Raw genomic sequence first — 25,274 nt, 5'->3', positions numbered from 1 at the left:
ATTTCCATGCCACACTACTGAGCTCAGGAGGCGGGCTTTTTTCATTTTTCTTTCTGATGAAATTAACACCCCCACATGAAAAAAACATCAAACCTTCCCCAACTCAAAGCAGATTGCTTGTTCTGACATTCCAGGGTAACTGAAGGAGGCTTGCAAAACCCAAACAGGAAACTGAAAGGCAACAGCATTGGAATCTGCTGGAGAAGCTTCTCTATTCTCTCTAATCTTTCCCTATTAGAAGTGCCTCTTGCCTTGTAGGCTGAGCAGGGGTGACTTTTGGCTCCCGTAAGGTTGGGCTGCCTCGGTGAGGCCCCAACACCATTGATTTTGGCCCTTGCTGATCCTCTCACTTTGGCTGCCTGGTACTAGTAGTGGAGACCAATTGGTCTCAGCATGCTGCGGTCTGATGGTTCTGTTGACACCAGCACTCCCAAGTTCAGTCTGCATTTGAGTTTTCTCATTAAGTGGGAAGTAAACAATATAGGTTATTATTGAGCAAAATCAAGGATGATATTGGGAGCTCGAATTTGCTGGAACATCATCTCAAGATCAGTTCCATGGTCCTTCTTTCTATTCATGCTCTTTGAAGTATGATGTCTGTGAAAATGTAACGCTTTTTGCATTTTCAGGTTATTTTGGAGGAGTTACAGTATATACAGGGTGGTCAGAAATAGCAACATTAGCTTCTGAGAGAGACCACAAAAGAAAGACTGCACTTACAGTGGTTGTTAAAACTGTTTAAATTCTTAGTAATAAATTGTTGAATGATTGAACCACAACCCACAGTTTGATTAAACTAGGTCAAATTTAAGTTTACCTTACTCGATTACTTGTAAAGTGGGCTGATGTGGCAAAGAACCACCAAACAAGTGCTGCTAAACAGAGAGCACGATGAGATGGTTATTTATTTTATATATGCCTCTGGTCGTACAGTTTCCTGTTGTTACTGTGCCTTAGGAAGCAAATATTATCAGCTGAGCCAATATCACCTGAAAAACTCCAAAGCTCTGAGGACTGTGCCCAAATGGACTGATCCATTTACAAAACCTTTTCTGGCCTGTTTTCTCATCTAAAAACCTACCTCATAGTAGTGTCTGAAGATTCAACGAGATAATACATCTAACCCCTGACAGAGAACTAGGAACACAGTAAGGAACTAAAGAAAGAGTAACTATTATTTGAACCTAGGAAATTGTCACCATCCTCCTTTTGCATAGGAGTAAAAGGAAGCTGAAATGCTGGAGTGATTTCCCAAGGGCACGAGGGTAAAAAAGTGAAATGATTGTATGAGGCCTGGCACATGAAGGGTATCCCAAACATTTTTTTTCTCTCACTTCCCTAATATGTGGTTCGGCCCAAGGCAAGAACACAGAAGGAGGTTGTATTCTTGTGTTCAGAACATTGACTACCACTTTGTAAATTGAGCACATGGGGAGCCAGGCTCTAATCAACTTTATGGTCAGCAAGAGTTCATTAAACAAGAACAAGACCTAAAAGGTAAACTTGGAATGGAATCAGGAAAGTCAGATGGAAGGCAGCATGTTATGAGATGCTTACCGGGGAGGACAGCACAGAAAGTGTGTGATTGTGGCAAGGGGTAGGGGAAGTAAGGTTTGAAACTGGGAAAATGATGGAGAAAGCAAGAAGATGAGGCATGCAGAGACGTATTTTGCTCTGAATTATTTTGACTAGGGATGTACTCCGCAAACTGGCGTCTGAAGACCAGAAAACCATGGATATATTCATGTGGCTTAGTGAGAATTTTTTTTCTTTAAAGAGGCCTATACATTACTCAGCTTTGAAAAATGCTGAACAAAGGTCATCTCTACTTCAAATAGATAACTTCACTGATTGGACAGTGCCTTAATAGTGGTCCAGACTTCAGAACCACTCTGTAAATTAATCCTTTCAATGATACAGCATCAAGCTTATCAATGATGGTTTCACTTGCTTCAAATGATTAGCACCATAAAGCTTAGGTCCTATTCCAGAAGTGTTCATGGAGTCCCTTGGGTGTAGTGGTAAACATTCATATGTGGCAAAAGTTAAATCTAAAAATATCTGAAACACTCTGAATTAAAATCATCAGATTATTGTAAATATCAGCTTGAGATATCAACTATCAACACTTTCAATTTCTTAATTTTGGAAGTTGCTTTTATTTTATTTTTAAAACTCATCAATTATTCTTTCAGTGGGCTTCAAATATTTTAATACTGCAGCACTGAATTCTTAGCTCTGACCACAGTGAGTACTGCTTCCCTGGTGTATCTCTACACACTGGATGAGATGATGATAAAGCCTAGGGATTGGGGAGCCACCAGATGGAAAAAGACAAGATCTCGGAATGACTGCATGGAGGAGAGCTGCCCAGTTGCCCAGGAACTTTTATGAGAGCAAGAAACCAACTTCTGGTGTGTTAAAATTCTACCTTTAAAAACTGTTCCAGGCCAGGCACAATGACTCACGCCTATAATGCCAGCACTTTGGGAGACTGAGGTGGGTGGATCACGAGGCCAAGAGATCGAGACCACCCTGGCTAACACAGTGAAATCCCGTCTCTACTAAAAATACAAAAAATTAGCTGGGCGTGGTGGCGGGCGCCTGTAGTCCCAGCTACTCAGGAGGCTGAGGCAGGAGAATTGCTTGAACTGGGATGCAGAAGTTGCAGTGAGCCAAGATTGTGTCACTGCACTCCAGCCTGGGCAACAGAGCGAGACTGTCTCAAAAAACAAAACAAAACAAAAACAAAAAACTGTTCCAATGTAATAATTCAGCTGGGACAAAATATATATTCTGATACTGATGCATCTGAGTTCTTATCTCAAATAGCAGAACACCTTGATTCCTAGACAATACAGTTTAAGTAAAATATGTGTTACTATTAAGTGCCAGTTATGGTTCTAATTATTTTAAACATATTGTCTTATTTCAGTCTCACAAGAACCTTACAATGTAGGATGTTTTTAATCTTTACTTAAAAGATGAATAACTGAAGAAACCAAGGCACAAGGAGGGGAGATATTTTGCCTAAGATCACATAGCTGTCAAATGGCCAAGTTTGGAATTTAGATTATTTGGACTCAAAAGTTGTATTTTCAACTGTGAACTTTCAATCATGCACCAGTTGTACATAAAATCACATGGAGTGCTTGTAGCAGACACTCATCCTGTTCACTGAAATCTACTGCCTCTTCTTATTGGAACACCAGCTGGATGGTATTTCCCTTCCTCCCTTGTAGGTAGCTGTCACCCTGTGACTGAGATCTCCTTAACAGAATGAGAGGAAAAAAGAAAATTCATGCTACTTTCAGTCTGGTCCATTACAAGTTCCCATAGTGCTCCTCCATGCTGTTTCCCCTTCTACTTGGTGGATGCGGATGACTATGAAACCCTAGCATATGGGAGAGCCACTGATGGAAATAGTCTGGGTCACTGAATGACTGCATGTGGAGAAGCCTCCTACCAACCTCACCATGAGCCATCCTACGAACAAGAAATTAATTTCTATTGTGCTAATCTACTGACACCTTGGAATTTGATTCTTTCTAAAACTTACCTTAACTAATAAAGAGCTTTTTAAAAATTCAGTTTCCTGCTGTGAACTCCAGAACTCCTAGATTAGAATCTCTGGGATAAAGACTATGTATCTCTACATATTTTTTTTTTTTTTGAGATGGTGTCTCGTGCTGTCGCCCAGGCTGGAGTGCAGTGGCGTGGTCTTGGCTCACTGCAACCTCTGCCTCCTGGGTTCACGCCATTCTCCTGCCTCAGCCTCCCGAGTAGCTGGGACTACAGGCGCCCACCACCATGCCTGGTTAATTTTTTGCATTTTTAGTGGAGATGGGGTTTCACCGTGTTAGCCAGGATGGTCTCGATCTCCTGACCTCATGATCCGCCTGCCTCGGCCTCTCAAAGTGCTGGGATTACAGGCATGAGCCACTGCGCCTGGCTGTATCTCTAATTTTTAAAAGATCCCCCTTGCAATTCTGAGGTAGCTAGTCTTTAGCAGTATTGAACTTCATATCACAATTGACTTTTTCCTTTTCCTAGCTAAATTCTAGTTGGATATCTTAAGACAATGGTTTTCCATTTTTAGTTTGCCTGATTTTTTAAAGAAGCTATAGCTCAACAATTTATATTGCTTCAGAAGAAGCTTCACTTATTTATTTAAGATTCCATTTGACCCAGGGGATTCAAGATGTATCATCTCATCGTGAGGGCACCAAGTCATCTATTTCCTTCTTTCTTCCATCTCTCCCTTCCTCTGTCTTTCTCTATCTCTGCCTCCTATTCTTCTGTCTTTCTATCTATCTGTCATGGCTAAGTAGCCTTCCCAAAAGTATTTTCCTTCTATTTTATTGTGTAAATATAGAGGTTTTGCATTGTGCAATTCCTTGAAAATAACATGTGGCAATTACAACATGAGATTTCATCAGCTGTTCATGTATTATAGTGATTACTTTGAAACTGTGACTGATATTTGAATCTTAGGGGAGAGAGGGCATTAAGAAACTCTCAGGAATGATTAGGTCTCCACCAGCTATTTTTTCAGTTTAAAATTGAGATTGTATTTCTTGCATCATTTCATCCATTATTTATTTTTTCTGACTAAAATAGATTATTGAAACTCAACACAGTGATAAATTTGATCTCTTCAAATGCCTTGAGTGTTTATATTAGGATGACATTCTTAATTGTCAAGGGGGTATATGAAGAAAGTCTTTGATATATCTAGCTCCACTGACAATTAGTAGAGCTGCATCATATAAGGATAGTTAATGATTCATAGAGTGCTTACTGTGTGCCAGTTGCCCTTCTAGGGACTTTGCATAACTGAAGTCCTTTAATTCTCAAAATAATCCTATGAATGGAGTCCTGTGTTTATCTTCGTTTCATAATGTGGAAATGGAGGCATGGAAGCACAGGGGAACATGCCCAAGGTCACACAACAAGGAGGGGTGGTGTTGGGACATGAACCCATGTAGTCTGGCTTTAGGCTCTGTGCCTTTACTACACACACTGACTGTTTTTATAGATAAGCACTCTTCCATGTGATTTTAAAAAATCATTCTAAGGGTATATTCCTTTTCTATTGCTTTGTAACAAGTTATCACTATTTTAGAATCTTGAAACAACATGCTTTTATTATTTCACAGTTTCCATGGGTCAGGAGTCTAGGCTTGGCCTAACTGGGTCCTCAGGTCATGGTCTCACAAAGCTGCCGTCAAGGGATCAGCTGGGACTAGGGTCTCATGTGAGTTTCAAAGTCTTCTTCCAAGCACACATGCTTAATGGCAAAATTCATTTCCTTGCAGCTGCAGAACCAATGGCAGCCTGTTCTTTCAGTGCCAGCAGGAGAATCTCTTTCTGACTCAGTGAAATCCAAACCCTCTTTAAAAAGGCTTCCAGCTAATTAAGTCAGATCCAGCAAGTATAATCTTCCTTTTTGATGAACTTTTCAACTGATTTGAGGCCTTAATTATATTTGCCAAATCCCTTCACTTTCACCTATAATGTAACCTAATTATGGATGAAACACCCGGGCAGAGATCATGGGGCTGTCTTAGAATTCTTCCCAGACAATAGCGCAATGGGTATGTCTGATCCCTTCCTTCATGAGTGAGGGAGATGGCTAAATACTGATGGTTTCATTAGAATTTGACTCATTAATCTCAGCTTATAAAAAAATCTGGAATTTGTTTTTCAATGTTTTATACATAAAAATTTCCTTCTTTAACTTTTTTCTAGAATTCTTTATACAAGGTTGATAGCATAAATAAATTCGGAATTTTTTTGAAAATTATCTTGTAAATTTACTCTGCTGATTAGTTTCCTGAGACATTTCTTAAAACCACCTTGTCACTTTTGTCCTTTGATCACCTGTTGGGTAAAAATCAAATTCCTTAGTGTGTGACAAACCAAATCTCTTATGTACTCACCACATGTACCATGTTGTCTTAGCTGCTTGCTACTGACTTCTCCTCCAGCGTTTTACGCTAAAAAGTGGAAAGGAAGAAGGGAAGGAAGGGAAAAAGGCAGAGAGATGGTTACTGGATTAAGTTTGAATCCCTCCGGAAGTTTCAAGCAGGCCCCAGGCCCTAAGAATTCATTGATCAGTAACCCGTAATCTGCAGTCTTAGCTGGTCTGAGATAATATTCCATTTCTTGGAGGTTAAAGGTTATTTTAACCCTGGGAAGGTATAATAACTAGAGAAACATGAATAAATGAATTACTTTAAATATGAGAAACAAAGGTATAATAATAAATGCTTTCAACCTGTGTATTCTACTATTTCTGTTATTCCATCCTCTGCTTCTAATGTACATTATTATTTACTTATTTATTTAGCATATTGCTTAGTATCTGCCTCCCTTCTTCCCACTCTTTCCCATCCTGTCAAGTATAAGGGCAAGGGTCATGATCTATTTTGATTACTGAGGTATTCAAGCATCCAGGACAAGTTATTGAATAAATACATAAATAATTGTGGTCTGTTCTTAGGATTTTTGAATCATTTAAGAAAAGTTAACATATTGGATTTGTAATTATATTGAGACTTTAAGGATCATTGTTTTGATTTGGTTTCGTTTTTGGGTTTTTTTGCTGTTTGAGCCTAACACAGATTGGAGGACATTTCCAAAGAGGTGGGTGTAAGGGGAGAATGGCTCTGTGTGTGTGCATGTGTATGCACGTGTGCATGCATGTGTGTGCGCATTTCTACATGCTGTATCGTGGCTAAGTCAGCAGACAGGATTGTCTGTCAGTATAGGCCTTCTGAGGGTGTAAACCCTCTAAGGAATAAATGCATCTGGAGAAATTCTACTTCCTGCAGTTTTAACTCAAATTGGTTTCAAGAGGGACACAGAGATCTTCCCTCTGGAGAGTAGGTGCAGGCATTATTACCCGCTCCCCCTTTAATTTTTCTGAGGAAACTGAGAATTAGAAAAATTAGGTGCAAGAGGGATAATATTTTTGGAATTTCTCCAGATACATCTTGCTTTGTGGGTGAACTAGATTTCTGTCTTTGCACCTTGTCCACCATGATTGCTTTAGGAGACTATAAATGTCACCTCAGAAAGGATATGAAAAGAGGATATGTAGAGGATATAAAAAAGAGGTCCCTTACAGGTGTTAGAAAGAAGTGGGATGTTTATCCTTCTGTGCCAGTGGACTGCAAAAAAGGAGACAGAAAAGAGAATTGGAGAGGCAGGTTTTTAGTATATGCATCCCGCTAAGAAAAGTCCAGAGAAGAGTCCAATTTTTCCCCATCACTGTTTGGAGCACTTGGGGAAAAAAGACCGTATTGGAAGACTCTTTGTTAATGTGTGAGGTGAGATAGTAGTGACAGTCTTGATCCTATGGGTTCTGAAAAGTTCTTTGAGCCTTGACAAGCAGACGTATTGGTGTTAAGAAGCCCAGGGAATTGGCAGAGGCCTGAAGATGCACAGAGGCTGTAGAGAAGGAAGGCACAACCAGGGGCAAATGGTCAGAACCAGAGGGTGTGCCAGAAAAATGTTCCAAAGACCCATGTGGACTGAGTGACACATCAGCTGGGAGGGGACCAGGCCATGCACGGAGGATCCAGAGGGCTCTGACATGCCTTTCCCTTGCTACCACACGATTATATCAGCCCCAGCCTCTGGGGAGAGAGAGCAAGCTGGGAAGATCCAGCATTGGGAAGAGAGGAATCTGGGAAGATCCAGAGGAAGCTTGGAAGATCCTGAGGAAGCTTGGAAGATCCTCTGGGGAGAGAGAGGAAGCTGGGAAGATGCAAAAGTAAATGCATCATGGGGGAGCCCATTTAAAAGACAAGAGACTTTAGTACTGAATATTGACAAGTATAAAAGAGTGCTGTCCATGCATTGGTACCCAGTGAGGTAGATGTTTATGAGGAAGAGTAGATCTATGACAGAAAACAGAGAAGCTGCATTTTCTTCAAATATTTGAAGTAGTATTTGAAGTTTTTATCCCTACTACCCCAGGTGCATACCCAAGCCCACTCAGGTGTGAGGGGGCATGGCTTCAACTGCAATCCAGATCCCTAGGGCAGGGCTTTATCCAGTATACCCAAGTGTCCTGTTTTTGAATGTCAGCAAAGCTTACAAACTGTTGCCACATACAAACCAACATAGCCTCGGATAGTGGCCAAATTAATACGGATTCTTTTTTTTTTTTTTTTGGAGACGGAGTCTCACTCTCACCCAGGCTGGAGTGCAGTGGGGCGATCTCGGTTCACTGCAAGCTCCGCCTCCCAGGTTCACGTCATTCTCCTGCCTCAGCCTCCCGGGTAGCTAGGACTACAGACACCCGCTACCATGCCCGGCTAATTTTTTTAGTAGAGACGGGGTTTTGCCGTGTTAGCCAAGATGGTCTCGATCTCCTGACCTCGTGATCCACCCGCCTTGGCCTCCCAAAGTGCTGGGATTACAGGCGTGAGCCACCACGCCCGGCCTAATACGGATTCTGTAAGCTTTAGCGCAAGGGAGGCATTGAAGCTTGGGAAAGGAGGAAATCCATCTGACCTGAGTTCAGGAAGGGAAGGTGATGAGGGACCCTTGAGGGACACATGGGAGATGAGAAGATGTGCTCTTTCTCAGTGTCACTTCTAGTGTGGACTCATGGAGGTTAATCAGGTGCTCAATGCAAAAAAAAAAAAAAAGGGGGGAATATGATTAGCTTCTATGAACTATGAACTCAGGTTGAGTAGGTTCTAGGTAGGCTTTTCCTCTGGGACTCACTCAACTCCATTTGTGTTCCCAAAGGTATCACAACAATAAGAACAGCCTGGATAGGAAGATTCAAAAGATGGTTTTCATATACCCGTTAAACACAACTGGGGCTCCACCTCACCCATTTCTAAAGAGGAAAATGAAATCTGACAATAAAAGACTGATTAAAAAGCTAGAGGTGAGGAAGTAGAAATGAAATAATGAGATATTTTAGTCAGAAATGGACTCTAGCAATTTTAAGATAACAGAACATTTATGTAATGCAATTATATCTAGTACTATTATTAAAAAGTAAAAGAAACATTGCAATTATCTCAAGTATTTTAGAAGTGTAAAGCAACATACTAAATAACACACGCTCTTAGTCCTTATATCTAGAATAAATATAGAGTATTTTGACTAAATTGTCAAGATGATTATCTCAGTTCTCCAGTTTACTTTTACCTACTTAGAGAGACTTGAACGCAGCACATGACAGCATGTGGCTCACTGATACTTTCTGCTGCACAAATGCAGCATCAGTCCTGATTATCCTCAAACCCAGGAAGGCTCCTTTGGATATAGTAATATCATGTTAATTCCAAAAAAGATGCAGTTTCCCTCAAAAGTCCTCATCTATGAAATGAGCTCCAGAGACTTTTAAGCAAGGGAGCAGGCGGGAAATGATATCCTTGTAATGGGTAAGGTGCCATCTCATGCAGAGAATAGAGATAGACCAGTTGGGTCTATGTCTAAGATTAAAATCTCCTGCCCATCCAAGTTGCTTCTACTTTGGAAAACTGTTGGCAGAATTAAAATAATTTTTAAATCATTAAAATAAGTAATCCACCCCCTTTTCCATGTATGCACCCTATCAAAGATTTTTAAAAGGGTAAGGGGCTTACGTGGGGAAGAACATAGAAATGTAAAAGGTGGGAGTTGAGGGGAGGGTGGTGAGAGGAATAGGAGAAATTTAAATTATCTGACTCTGAGAGCCAAATACTATTTATGGGGAGAGTCCATTGACACAACATCAACAGAATGTGCAGTTTGATTTCGAGTTCTCCAGGGCAGTGCTGGGTGTGTGCTATGCACGTGTGTGCTCTCTCGCCACTCCCCCCATGACCTACCATGTGCATTTGCCGGTTTAGGAGGAGGGCTTGGCCCTGTTTTAGAGAGAGGTTCACTGACTCACGCACAATTTGAACTCAAGACCTTGGTCTCATTGATTCTAGACCAGCTCACCCCTGTTTTGCTAGATAAAGATTGCATTAACCAGGTAATATTTTTCTCAAACATTACCGGGAGAGGAAACATCAAATTTAACACTGCCAACTTATTTCAATGTTTAACCTAAATCAATAATATAATTAACACATGTAAATAAATTACATTTTTGAGAACATGGTTGAGGATTTTTAAAAGATAGCTTTTCCATCCTAACCTTTTCCTATCCTCATTTGCAGGTAGCTTATTTGTCTGTGGCCCTCAGTGCATGCTGTGAACTGCTTTCCCTCCTGGTATGTTTCAGTAGCAGAATATTAAACCTTTGTTTTTAGGTCTGTGTTCTGGTTCAGGTTAGGGTTTGAGTTCATTTTTTGAAATAGCCACCTAGAGATTTCAAACCATGAAATCAGAGAATCTCACGAGCAAGTGGACATTGTTTGCCCTACTTCTTAATGTCTTATGCCCTCTGGTGGTAAAATCAGGTGACCTCCTATATTTTTCTTTGAATTCTCCAAAGCAAAATATTTCATTAAAATAAAACAAGACGGGTCTCTCCCTTTCTCTGCCATTGTGGTGTATGCGGTTGACTCCATTCCTCACTATGTCTGCTCGCAAGGTTTTCAGTATCAAGCGATTTCTGGCCAAGAAACAAAAGCAAAATCATCCCATTCCCTAGTGGAATCAGATGAAAACTGGTAATAAGAGCACCTACGACTCCAAGAGGAGACATTGGAGAAGACTCAGCTGGGTCTGTAAGGACTTGCACATGAGATGGCACTCAGATTCATGCTGTACTGGGGTCACTGGCATCTTACCATATCAACTTGGAAACGTTGCCACTATCTGTACTGTGGGACATGTTTTAATGAAAAAATGTTTTATCTTTGTTTCTGTGCCCTGCACTAGGTTGGTTCAGTAACAAGTATGTGAGGACTTTTGTTTGAAAAAAAAGTTAAGACAGCATTCATCATGATTAGCAAGTTATTGAAAATGTATATATACACACACATATGTATACATTATATGTGTGTTTGTATGTATGTGCAAGTATATATGTGTGTGTATGTGTGTGCTCTGGTTTGACACTAGGAGTGTGAGGTAACTATTGAGTAGTGATGAGTCTTGTGGTCTATAAAATAGGCCTATCCTTTATAGAGTAAGGATGCCAGGCCTTTATACCTAGGCTTTTTGAATAGAAATGAAGTTCTCTAAATCTGTTGCCTAGAAAAACATATATCTGTACATAAAATTCGACTCTAAGATGCTCAAATTCACTGAGGTAAAATTATAACTAGGATTAATTTATAAAAAAATTACTTCATTACCCAGGTCATATCCTCTGAAAATATGAACAATAGCAGAAAAAAATAAAACAATGGGTCAGAGCAAAGGAACATATTGATCTGGGGGAGAATTTATGGAATAAATATGTTTTTCCATGTGTATTTTTTAAGAAAGTATTTAACTTTTTTTTTTAAGAGACAAGGCCTTGTTCCGTGGCCTAGTCTGGAGTGCGTTAGTGCAATCACAGCTCACTGCAGTCTGAAACTCCTGGGCTCAAGCAATCCACCCATCTCAGCCTTCTCAAATCTGGGACTTACAGGTGTGCACCACGATGCCTGGTTAGTTTTTTATTTTTATTTCTATAGAGATAGGGTCTCACTATGTTGTCCAGGCTGGTCTTGAACTCCTGGCCTCAAGCTATTCTCCATCCTCTGACCTTAGCCTCCCAAAATGCTGAGATTACAGGCATGAGTCACTGCATGTGGCCAACATTTTTATTTTGAGAAGAAAATATATTTTGAGAGGGTGTTAAGTCATCTCTTTTAAAATGAAGTTTTGTAATCATAGGTAGAAATGTTTTTAAATACCTTTTCTTTCTTTTTAATATTTTTATTACCTTTTTATTTTGAAATAATTTCAGACTAAAAAAAGTTGCCAGTACACAGAACTCCCATATACCTTTTACCAAACTTCTCCCAGTGTTAATATTTTACTTTACCACAGTATAATTTTCAAAATCAAGAAACTAACATTGATATTATGCTATTAACTAACCCCAGACCTTATTCAACATTTGCCAATTATCACATTAATGCCTATTTTATAGCCAAGATCCAGATTATGATTAAGGTAATAATGATTAAATTCAGCTTATACATATTTAGTAAGACTACCACAGAAGCGATATTGTGGGCTTCTCAGTACATATATCATGGGTCCTTTTTGTTGAATACTTCTTATTATTGGTGATGTTAGCCTTCAACACTTGGTTAAGGTAGTGTCTGCCAGACTGCTCCACTGTAAAGGAACTGTTTTTACTTTTGTATTTAATAAGGACTTCGTAGAGAGAGACTTTAGGACTATGTAAATATCCTGTTTCTTATATATTGCCCCACTCATCGCCAACTAGTGATTTTTTTTACTTTAATAATTTATTTGACACTCGTTAATTATAATTCTACTGTAAAGAAGAGCTTTCCCTTCTCTCCCATTTGCTAGTTATTTCATTATTGAAGTATATCAGTATGCAGTCATGAATACTTATTTTATTCTATATGCTATACTCCATTATTACCATAATTTACTTTGTTCTTCAAATTGGCTCACAATTGACCACTGGGGGCCCCTTCAAGTTGGCTTCTGTGTCCTTTCAACATGTGTCCACCATTTTGTTCTTACTGCTTCTTTTCTTTCTGGCACAAGATGTTCCAGGATAATCTTACACAGTACTTTCCCTGCCCCAGCCATGAGCTCAGTCATTTCTCAAGGATCCTTGGTTTCTTTTATTAAATAATGTCATCTAGAAAGCAAGATCTAGGTGCTCTTTGTGTTCATTGCTACTGGTGTCATTACTTTTAGGCCCTCTCATCAGACAAAGCTAGATAAAAATCTGTTTATAATAAACATGTGTACATACACATAATCTAAGTCTCTATCTCTGTATCATCTATTATCTATCTATCATTTATCTATCACCACGAGTTCATACATTTGATTCCTATTTATATCTATCTATCTATCTTATCTATTATCTATTATCTATCATCTATCTATCACCATCAGTTCATACCAATACATTTGATTTCAGTCCAGTATTACAGTGTTAATTCTAGCCTTCCTCCTTTCCTTACTAGTAACTCATTTCTCTAAAAGTAAGAAATCTCCCTCTTGTTATCCAAATATTATTTACTTATTTGCACAATCCTAAAATAAACATTAACTGGGTTTATAATTACTAACCAATGCCTCTTTGGGGCTGGGGAGCTTGCAAACTAATGTAAAATGTTTGTGTACATTCCTGTTGGTCTTTGGTCTTAGAGTATATAATATGTACATTGTATTAATAATACATGTATATAATAATACATTGGATTTCAAAGTTGTCTTCAGTTCATTCTTTTCTTCCTCATCCCCTTCAGTGTGGTTTGTAATTGAGTTAGGCTCATTTGTTATTGTTTGTATTGAATTTTGGGTTCTCCCTTCACCCTGCTTGATTTTAGTCATTTATTTATATTTTTGGTAATGAAACATTACCATGGTTTCTAAAAGTCAGAACTGTAGAAAGAGTTATACTCAGAGAAGTGTTCCTTTCCCACCCCCATCATCCCCTGCACCCCAACTCCTTCCTGTTATCCCTGTATATAAGCAATCTTAGTTCCTGGGTTAACCTTTTTGTGGTTTTCTTTCTTTTTCTTTTTCTTTTTTTTTTGGTCTCTCTTTCATAGAAGTTGACACATAATAGATATTCTTTTGCACTTTGTCTTTTTTCTTTTTCACTTAAGAAAAACCTATTTGGATTGTGTTCTGAAAAACAATCCAAATAGGTTCACAGGAATCCTTTTCTATTTTATTTTCTCTTAGAGCCTGTAGAGGTACACAATTTGTTTAACTACTCTCTTGTGTTCAGATATTTACATTGTTTCCAATATTTTGCAATAACAACAATGTCACAATTAATAACCCTGTGCAAATATATTTTTGCCTTATCGGAGGTGTATCTTCTGGGTAAATTCCTAGAAGTGGAATTGCTGAATTAAAAAATAAGTGTATGTGTAGTTTCTTAGGCATTACCAAATTTCCCTCTATAAAGCTTGTACCACTTGACATTGTCACCAGCAATGTGTGAGGGTATCTCTTTCCCTACAGATGACTGCCATATTTTTAATTTTTTTGCCAATCTGATAAGTGAAAAATAATATTCCTATAAAGTTTTAATTTGTATTTCACTAGTTATGAATGATATTAAACATTTTTTGCTATCTTACAAGGTTTTTTATATATCTTTTTGTGAATTATCTACTCTTGTTTCTTTATCTAGTTCAATATTTTTTTAAAATCCCTTCTCTTTCAATTTTAGGAGTTTTTAATATATTAGCAGAATATATACTTTATTATAGAAAGATTAATGTTGCAAGCATTTTTTTAAAGTTTGTTTGTTGTTTGACTTTGTTTATGGTGTTTTTGCCATGCATTAAAATTTTTATTTTTATGTGGCCACTCGTCAATCTTTTTTTTTTAATTGCCTCTGGATTTTGAGTCATGGTTAGAAAATCTTTCCCTATACCAACGTTAAATAGAAATTCACCCATGTTTTCTTCTGCTATTTAAAAAAAAATTTTTTTTTACATTTATATTATATCTCTTTTTCATTGGGTCTTTATGCTTGTATATGGTGTGAGATATGGATCTAAACTTATTTCATTCCCAATACCTATCCAGTTGTCCCAGAACCATCTATTAAAATTTTCTTGCCCCAGCAATTTTGTGATGTCACTTATCATATACTAAATTTCCATATGTACTTGAGTCAATTTCTGGGCTTTCTAATTTATTCTATCAGTTCGTTTGCCTAGTCATGCACCTGCATCCTACACTCTTAATTATGAAGACTTTATAGTATGTTTTAATGTGTGATAGGGCTAGTTCTTCCTTCTAGTTTTTCTTTTTAAGTGTTTTCTTGGCTCTTCTTCAGTGTTTTATGTCTTTCAGAAATGCTTTCCTCATACAGTTTTTGCACATTTCCTTTTAAGTTTATTTAAGTGTTTCATGTTCTTTGTTGTTATTATAAATGAGGGTTTTTCTGTTATTACATCTCCTAAATAATCATTGTTTATGTATATAAAATAGTAAGTTATCTATGTAATGTTTTTATCCTGCTATTTTATATTATAATAACTTATCTTATTGTTTTAGTTAATGCCTTTTCTTAACTTGAACCAGAAATACATTTTTATTGTGTTAAGCCTCTGAGATTTGATTTATTTCTTATAGTAGTTAGCTGAGTCTGACAAATAAAAGATAGAAATAACTTTATTACCATCATAAAGTAAAGATATTAAGAGCAGAAATATTGACAAGTTTGCCTAAGGTCATAGAATGAGCAATGGACAACACTGGTTTTTAAATCAATATCCTATGTTATTAACCACTGCATATTACCCTCTCCTCAAGGTGTGAGTTCCTGAGCTTTTCTGCTAGCTTCCATTTGAAAGAGAGAAGCCAAGTTCATTCTCCATCCTTCTTTGTCTACTTGCAGTTCTGTTACTCATTGTAGGGAAATGAGTGGGAGCAGAAGGCAGACTGCTAGATGAATAATAGCATGGAGGGACACACAGCTACATAGATTTAAGAGGGTGTGAACTCATTGTACTTTATAGGTGTAGAAAACTATACAAGATTTTGTAGTTATAAAAATAACAAAATCTCAGCTCTGATTCACCATTCAATTTGTTCTCACTATACAACAAGTATGATCTTTTAAGAATGAAACTAGTTAGATGGCATTCTCTTTGTTTAAATCTTTCAATGGATTCACATTTGTATCAGAATAAAGACAAAACTCATTCACATGGCCTCTGCTTTACTATCCAGGCTCAGCTCCATGCCTTGTACTAATTGCTATCATACGGTATTTTGATCACTTACTTACTGCCCTGTCTTGTAAACTCTTCAGGACAGAGACTTTTTAAATTTTGGATTCCAGATTCTGGTACCATGCCTAACACATAGTAGGCACTAAATATATGTTCGTTGAGTGAGTGAAGGAGTTAATGAATAAATATTGTTTTCCTACCTTTTTTGATTTCATGGAATATGCTTATCTCTTCTTTAGAATATTTTCTTCTTCCCTGCATGAGGAATGAGCTTTCTGTATCCTTAAGATTGCCACCATCATCAGCTGTGAGCTGTCATGAACTTTTCAAACTCTGAAGAGAAATGTCAAATGAGTGATCTGAGATTCTTGTTTTAAAGAAAATAATCAGCTGATATATTTCTTCCTACCACTTATATTTTCTACTCTTTATGGAAATGATTTTGCATTTGTTGGGATAAATAATCCTCAGTCTTTTGTAAAAGGCAAACTGAAAGTTTTATTTGAATATCTCACCCTGCCATTTCTTTTCTTTTCTTTTTTTTTTTTTTTGGAGACCGAGTCTCACTCTGTCACCCAGGCTGGAGTGCAGTGGCGCAATCTTGGCTCACTGCAACCTCTGCCTCCCAGGTTCAAGTGATTCTCCTGACTCAGCCTTCCGAATAGCTGGGAATACAGGCACATGACACCATGCCTGGCTAATTTTTTGTATTTTTAGGAGAGACAGGGTTTCACCATGTTATTCAGGATGGTCTCGATCTCCTGACCTCGTAATCTGCCCGCCTCGGCCTCCCAAAGTTCTAAGATTACAGGCGTGAGCCACAGTGCGCGGCCCTTTTTTTTTTTTTTTTTTTTGAAATGGAGTCTCACTCTGTCACCAGGCTGGAGTGCAGTGGCACAATCTCAGCTCACTGCAGCCTCCGCTTCCTGGGTTCAAGCGATTCTCCTGCCTCAGCCTCCTGAGTAGCTGGGACTATAGGCACGCGCCACCATGCCCAGCTAGTTTTTGTATTTTTTGTAGAGACAGGGTTTCACCATGTTGGCCAGGATGGTCTCGATCTCTTGACCTCATGATCTCCCACCTTGGCCTCCCAAAGTGCTGGGATTACAGACGTGAGCCACCACTCTCAGCCCACCCTGCCATTTCTAAAAGGCACTTTCTCTCAAAAGCCTGGTCCAACCCTGGCAATAAAGATTTTCTAAGTATCACATGTAGTCTCTAAACTAGTTTTCTTGACATTTGATAGTAATAAAAGTAATTGTTTATTGAGCTTCATCTGTGTATTAAGACACTCTTGTAAGCATATTATATACAATTTATGAAACATATTAGTTTCACCACTTTCTGGATGAGGAAACTGAGGCATAAAGAGGTTAGGTAACTTGCCTAAGTTTCTTTAAACACAGCCAATAATAAAATGAACTGAGATTGGAATTCAGGGAAGCCAATTCCAGGGTCCATACTTTAAATCTGCGGTGGATCACTTTCATCACTTATGATGCTTCATCTTACTGCACCTCCTAGAACATGTAATGTTGTTTGTGTGCTTCACGTACATCTATTTCATCATCCAGATAAGATCCCTAGATGTTCTTTTTGGAGGAGTGTCTTATTTCTTCAGCCTTACAATGTTTAGAATAGCGGCAGACATGTTGTGTGTCCATTTCATACACAATTGCTAAATTGCTTTGAAAGCTGTATTTAAATTCTCCCCCTAGTTTTAGGTAATTGTATATAGGGGTTTTACCAAGTTAGGATAAAGCAGCATATTTAAAAAATCTCCGTATTTGTTTACTCAAGAAATAAGTGTAGGATTGTGATTATAATAGATGTAATAGGAACTCAGGAGGGGTAGGAGATCCCCACAACATCATCCACCTACTGTCCTTCCTTTCTGTACCTCCATATGGATGTAACGATGCGTTGACGGATATGAATGAAACTGGGCATTCTGTGACTTATTGATTTGAACCAACACTGGTTAATAAAGCATTCATTTAACTCATTCTCTGTTATAGCTCCCTCTACTGAGGGCCATGGCTCTTCTCTGAAGGAGGGGCAGGAAGCTTGTTGTCACTGTATGAAGGTGCAACTGAGTTCTTTAGCCAAAGGACAACCCCAATTCAACCTGTGTACAACAACTCTCCTGTGATGATGACTGCCTTCCTCTACTGACATGCCTCCCAATGCTTGGAAGGTTAAATTATTCCCCATGCCACAATGAGTGGGGTTTTGGGGGGAACATGATGGTACTAACCATCAACCTTAAGAAAATAATAACTTGTTATTACTGAGACCCTCTGCCCTTTATGCAAATAAACCACAGCAGGCTACCATTTAGACATACTTGTACATGTCTAAATTTACTAAACGTATGTTTAAGAAATATATGTGGAAAGTTACAATTCTGTTATTTTCCCAAACCTATGTTCAACTCAGAAAGAGTTTGCAAAAAGAAAAATAAAAGGAAAGTCAAAAGAAAAGTAACTGAATATATTAAATTTCTTTATCAAGCCTCCATACTATAAGACTATGTCTTCTTAGAACTTTGTTACATTATCTTTTTTATTAATAAGTGCCTTTTGTTCTAATCATTTTAGGTCATAAAAATAATATATGTTCATGGTAGAACTATTGGAAAATCAGAAATATATTTTTAAGTGTTTAATAATTCATGATCTCTTCACTGGAAGATATTCATTGTTAGCATTTTGGTATATTTCTTTTATCTAGATAGATTGATGAGAAATAGATTGAAAGATAGAGATGGAACTGTTTTTGATATGCACATATACATATAGTTTATTTCCACTGCCTGAGCTTTATCTCATGAACATTTTTCAGATCACTTAAGATTCCTCAATGACCTTTTATAAATGGTTTAAGATGTGTATTTTATAACTATATAGTGTTCTATTTAATGATCTGACAGAGTTAGATATTTTGATGCTTTCACTGAGATGAATGCCAGATTGCTCTTCTAAATCCTGTCCGAGTGAAAGAAGAAAGTACATCATGAACTGCGTAAAAAACAGAGGGTGATTTTCTAAAGAAACAGAGGAACTTTCATCTGCCCAATGAAATTCAGAAATTAAAAAATAAAGAAAAAGAAATTCTTTTCTGTAAAAAGCCCCAGAACCTTGATGCTTATCAGAGATTTATCAAAGTGATTCGAGCCTAATGGGGACCTGTTTGTGTCTGAAATCCCTCAGCACTGCACAAGGACAGGAAAGTGACAAGAGGACATATTTCTCAGATTTTCGGCTACTTCATTTTCTTAAGTCAAGCTGCAAATATCACAAATATAATTTTGCATGCAGTATTTTGGCTGTTCATGGTGGTTATCAACTGGTGGGAGGACCAAAGGGAAAGAAAATGGGATACGAAATCAAGGGATGTTTTCTGAACCTTAAAGTTGGCACAGTGATATTATCTCTACTTTTGCAAACAATTTACCTTTCATTGTTACTGTGCAAAGTCAACACTTGCTTTGAGATATATTTACTCAAAGAAAAACAGTGTCTAATTTGGTAACCAAAATACCATAAACTGAAAGGAATTAGATTAGTCCTAAAAGGAACTAGACTGGGCTATGCAGCAAGAGAAATAGAGATTTTACTTCAGTATTCTGTACAATGGAGCATAAAAGGCTTTTATAGCATGTAAACATACATTAAAATAGTATACCTATCAAATTGAAAAGGATTAAAATGTTGCACGTGGGCAAGGATGTAGAGAATTGGAAGCTGTCACTGTTAGAAAAGGACAGAGCAGTTATATAATACCTTCCAAAACTAACAGTATATGTGTCCTCCAATGGCTCCTAGGTAAGCTTTGACCTATGTGGAGGAAACACGTGAGAGGGCTATGTTGCAACATTATTCGAGATAGAAAGATCTTTTAAACAACCCAAGATTCCACTAACAAGAAAATAGATTGATAAATTTTGGAATAATGATTCAGTGGAATACTATGTAGCAGTGAAAATAATGTGTATCAACATGGATAAACCTCAACAATTTAATGGTGAATTACCAAAGCCAGATATTAAAAGAAATGCAAAGTATGATACCATTCATATAACATCTAGGGACACAAAACAATACTCAATATTATTTGTAGGTGTCTATGGAGCATAAATACAGAAACATCACGGGAAGATAAACATCAAATTCAAAATGTGTTTACTCCTGGATACAGAGACAGAGAGAAAGAGAAAGAGAGAGAGAGGAAGAGAATTGGCTTGAAAGGTAGTACATAATTAGAGTCAACTTTAACCTTTCTTTCCTTGTGAAAAATCTGAAATAACTATGAGAAAATAACTAAGAGCAATAACATGTAACAAAGCTGGATGACAAGCATATGGACACTTATTATTTCATTCTAGATAATTTTCTCTATCCTTGAGCTATTTCATTTAAAACAAACTTTTCAAGGTCACAGAGCTAAGAGATGGCAGAATTTGTTTGGTTTTGTATTAGGAAGTCTTGTTTTTTGAACCTGTTTAAGAGACTTCCAGCTATTTAAAAGAGAGGAGTCATGTGAGGGCATAGTTGCAGTACGAAGTACTGACTGAGACCTCCCTGGTGCGGAGAAGCCAAAGAGCCTTGGCAAAAGTTCTGGGTTTAACATGGCCCATCTTGCGGGCTTTCCTTTGAAGATGCTTTGCCCATTGGATCAGCAGTCTTAGCTACTAAAACTTTCCCACAAGTGATCTTATTATCCTCATTCATTAAGGTGGCAAGAAACAAGATTTTCTCTAGCACTCACATGTGCATCGGGGGTCTGTCTGGATCTAGCCACAGTCGAGCATCCCCTGGTCTCCTGAGTGTGCCCTGTGAACTGCTCCCCCTCATCTCTACCTTCTTAGGTTCTGCCCATTTTCTAGAGCCAGCCACACCTCTCAACCCCACGGGGGCTTTCCCAGATGCTCCAACCCTATGCAGTCACTTCCTTTTCAGAACCATTATAGCAGCTCATCTGCCACTTAGCATGTGCCGTCTTTTATTTCAGATCTTCTTAAAACCTAATAATCAATACACTTTAAAGCTAGGAGCAGTTTTACAGAACACATAATCCAATTTCCTCTTTTTGCTAATGAGAAAATGGAAACCTAGAGATACTTGGTAAATAATAGGACCAAGTCTAGACTCCATCCCTCCTTTGCCATTATCTGGTATCATTTTACTGTGATATGTGTGTGTCCCGAGAGGATGTCAGGTTCTTTCTGGACAGCAACTTGTTTGAAACTATAGCATGTTCATATTGGATCTTTAATAGCCATATGCACATGGTGACATGGTGCTTCACCAAACCACATAGGGCAGGTGGAAGATAAATAATTTCTTGTGTAGAACAGAGTTTAAAGTTAAAAAAAAATTATTTATGTAGCGGTGGCTCATGCCTGTAATCCCAGCACTTTGAGAGGCCGAGGCGGGCGGATCACGAGGTCAGGAGTTTGAGACCAGCTTGGCCAACATAGGGAAACCCCATCTCTACTAAAAATACAAAAAATTAGCTGGGCATGGTGACAGGCACCTGTAATCCCAGCCATTGGGAGGCTGAGGCAGGAGAATCACTTGAAGTCAGGAGGCGGAGGTTGCAGTGAGCTGAGATCGCGCCACTGCACTCCAGCCCGGTCGACAGTGCGAGACTCCATCTCAAAAAAAAAAAAAGTATTAATGTATTTCAAACCCTTAGGTGTATAAAGTTTCCTTTAAAAAAGGATTAGAAAGCTTCTATTGGTCATATAAGATGTTCAGATGTTTCTATTTTTGTTACTACAAGCAAAACAAAGCTAATCGCTCTTAACTTTGTTCCCTTAATTCACTGCCAAAGGTGAGCTCAGAGAGGATTTATATGGACCAGTTCTGACCATTGTAGGTTAAAGACATTTCTTTGAATTTCAGCTGAGAAACATTCTCCCATGCAGCCCTTTTACCAGTTAAGTTGAATAAGCTTGACTTTGTAGATATTGTTTTTAGTTTCATTTCAGAAAAAAAGAACATTAAGAAGTCAATTTAATAAGCAAAATTATTTACGTGATTTAACTTAATTTGGCAATATGGCTGGGAAAATACAGAACAAAACAAAAGCAAATGTAAGAATACATACTTGGAACTGAACCAGTAGTGTTAGCAGTAATTATGCAATTAGTAGTTTTAATTACAATTAAAAAATCACCCTAAATTATCCAAGACCTATGATATGTGACATGGCACTCACCACCTTGAACAACTTCTCTGAATTCATTTTAAAACTGAGTACGGCGCCCATGGCATTTTCTTCCCAACTCATCCACCTGTGACCATGTTAAGAAGAAATTCCCTAGAATAGTTCAATCAAAGCTTACTGTGAACACTCTCACAACTTAATCAATGTTCTACATGTTCATTTCAAGGTTATTCTGAGATCTCAGGAAGGGTTTGTGAGCTTCCTGAAATAGAAGAAGTCTCAGAGGAATTCATCCCCCTGAGCTCAGTGGAGACATTCCAGCCATGCGGGTCTCCTTCCTCCTCTCCACCCCAGCCTTCCTCCTTCTTCTTCCTCCCTCACAGCAGAGATATGACAAACACCACCCACTTACAGTTGGTTCTCCTAATTCCACCCACAGGAGCTAAAAACCTAAAGAAAACACATTTATTTGTTTAAAAATGTAATTTACAAACAGCATTTTCATGAAAAATGTTCTCACCCTCGTTGTGCTAGTTCGTTGTATCTTTTTCTTCCAGGCTTATTCCTTCCCAAATGACTACAGTTTTTGCTGGCATTTCTCTGAAGGTATACTTGAGATCTCTTTAAGAGTCAGAAAAGCTACCTGAAATTGCAGGCAGCTTCCTGTTGGGCTCACGTTTTGCAGAATCCACGCTTGGTGTGCAGAAGGTGGGCAAGGTGTTTGAAAAAACAGGAAGCACCTGTGAATGTGTGAATTTATTTCTGGAAGCAGAAGGCTCCCTCTGAGATGGCTCTAGATGCTTCCTGCTGTTCCACCTATGAGCATTTTGCAAGGCCTTTCAGTACTTTGGGGCTATGAACAGGCTTCCGAATGGCAGGATTATTTGGAAAATCTGGGACACGGTGGGAATTCTGTTTTTTTAATGCAACTTTTCTGTTTTTTTCATGCAACTTTTTTCATGCAACTTTCTTTTTGGGGGATATTGGTTGATATGCGTGGAAATGAAGGTAGACTTTTAATTGCAATGGGGAAGTTAAAACCAAATGAGAATTAGAGATGTATGTAGCTTTATAAGTGATTTTGCTTTCATAAGATCATGTTTGTACTCATTGATTCCTTTACTCAGTAAACAGTATTGAGTGCAAGGCACTGAGATACTCCCTAGGAATCCACCGGAGACAAAACAGTGGTTGTGTGAAGTTTCAGTCCCCTGTTTCAGTCCCAAAATCACCTACAAGAAAGTGTTGTATTTCAAATTTGCATTTTTATATTTGCATGTGTCTGTATGATTTAGTGATGTGTTTAATTGAAATGCTACTGAAATAAGTCTCCTCCTCTGTATGAGGTACTCTAAACTACTGTTGGTGGCTGGCTATTCCAGCTTGGGCAGCCCCTGCCTGCCTTTTCAGGTCATGCATTTGGTGACATTAGTGGCTAATTAGGTTAATCCTGTTCCTTGACTGGAGAGACCACAGCTAATTGCTATCCTGTAAATACACTCTTGGCTGTAGATAAACTGGACTGCAACATGTGTCTGGATTCTTGAAGACCTATTACCAGTCTTTGAGGAAAAAGTGTCAACAGCTTCTGTTCTACAGTTTTCAGTAGCTTTATTTTCATATCTGAGCAAAATCTGGCACAGAGTAAAGAATACAGCTCCCTCCCTCTTTTATATGTGTGTGGCCTCAACAGGTCACGTTGCAGCCAGTTTGAAAATCTCCAAGTAAACAGTGCTGATTTGTTGGTAGACTACGCTGGAGAAAATGCAGAGGGGCTGGGGAGAAAGAAACCTGGGTCTAAAGTTTAGCTCTGCCACTTACTAGCTATGTGAACTTGGGCAAGTCATTTAGCATTTCTCCAAGACCACCTTTTTTTCATGTGAATGGAAATAATTCTCATACTTACCCAAGCAAGTATCATGAGGACAAATTATATAAAGTTTATAGAACATTATATAATATACATCCCCAGGTTCTAGAGATGGATTAGGGTTTGAGCCAAGAGGCATGGGTTTGATCTTGGAAAGGTCATCCTGGCCCTCTGTGCCCAAGACACCTCTAGCATAAAGATTGAACATGTCCTGTATTGGGCTCCTACGGATTTACTGAGCACCCATATATGGTAGTCACTGAGCCAGAGACTATTGACACAGATAGAAGTGTCGGGTTCCTGTCCTCAACACAAATGAGGTTCCTCTATTTTATATCCGTTATTGGAAAAGGAGAGGGAAGATTTTCTAAGGTTAGAATGAAATCCTAAAGTAATTAACTGACTGCCAATCATTGTTAAAGGGCACTTTCCATATTGTGTTATCAAGAGCACTGGCAGGCACGGGCAGACCAAGGCCTTGACTGGCTCTTCCACTTCTTAGATGGGTGACTTGGGGCAAGATACTTCGTTTTGTTAAATCTCAGTGTTTTTTGCAAAATGTGGGCAATAGGAGCACGTTCCTCACTTGGTTCTTGAGAAAATTAATTGAATTAATAGGAGAGAAAGAGAAAGAGGGAAAGAGAGAGAGAGAGAGAGAGAGATTTTCTGTCTCCAACATATGCAAATTCTATTTGCATATGTTGATACATTAGTCTGTTTTCCCACTGCTATAAACACCCAAGACTGGGTAATTTAAAAGGAAAGAGGTTTAATTGACTCACAGTTCCACATGGCTGGGGAGGACTCAGTAAATCTACAATCATGGTGGAAGGAGAAGGGGAAGCAAGCACCTTCTTCACAAGGCAGCAGGAAAGAGAGAGAGAGAGTGAAGGGGGAAGAGTCCCTTATAAAACCATTAGATCTTGTGAGAACTCACTCACTATCAGGAGAACAGCATGGGGAAACCGCCCCCATGATCCAGTCATCTCCCACTAAGTCCCTCCCCGACATGTGTCAGTCAGTATATTAGGCATTGGAGATACAAAGACAAAAGAAAATTCTGGACTTCAGTTGAATTACAAAGGAAAGCATGAATAAGCAAATTGATTAGTACATGATGAATGTTATAAGGAAAGCCTGGAAAAGGTCTCAAGAACAAGAGGAGAAATTTTACTATTCTACCTGGAGGAGGTAAAGTGTTAAGAATTTATGATTAAAGGTGTTCCTAAAGGTGGACCTCAGAGGCCAAAAAAAAAAAAAAAAAAAAAAAAAATAGGGTAATCAAGCTGTCCTCTTATCTATTATCCCATGGGAAACACTGACCAAACAGGAGGGATTTCAGGACATCATTTCCTAGTCAATGACATCTGGGATTTTCTCAAGTTACTCAGCAACAGACAAGTGGTTGAGATGAA

General features: G+C 38.4%; 1 long non-coding RNA gene and 1 pseudogene across 7 annotated transcripts in view; one reads left to right on the top strand and one right to left on the bottom strand.

The window, feature by feature from the left end:
* Positions 1-22,642, bottom strand: part of IFNG-AS1 (IFNG regulatory antisense RNA 1) — a 31,867-nt gene extending 9,225 nt beyond the window's left edge. For 3 of the 7 annotated variants that reach the window (NR_104124.3, NR_186227.2, NR_104125.3), the window contains exons 1-3: positions 22,510-22,642; positions 16,016-16,148; positions 5,943-5,999 (exon numbers count right to left, since the gene is read on the bottom strand). This is a non-coding gene — a long non-coding RNA (IFNG regulatory antisense RNA 1). Of the gene's footprint in view, positions 1-5,942; positions 6,000-16,015; positions 16,149-22,040; positions 22,143-22,509 lie in introns of all 7 variants that reach the window. The other 4 variants (NR_186228.2, NR_186229.2, NR_186231.2 and 1 more) reach the window with 4 other exon arrangements.
* RPL39P28 (ribosomal protein L39 pseudogene 28) lies at positions 10,541-10,695 on the top strand (annotated as a pseudogene).
* Positions 22,643-25,274: the final 2,632 nt, after the last annotated feature.

This window comes from Homo sapiens, chromosome 12 (assembly GCF_000001405.40).
Source record: "Homo sapiens chromosome 12, GRCh38.p14 Primary Assembly".
Taxonomy (NCBI): domain Eukaryota; kingdom Metazoa; phylum Chordata; class Mammalia; order Primates; family Hominidae; genus Homo; species Homo sapiens.
Note: the sequence above shows the minus strand (reverse complement) of the source record. Positions and strands in the feature narration are given on the sequence as shown.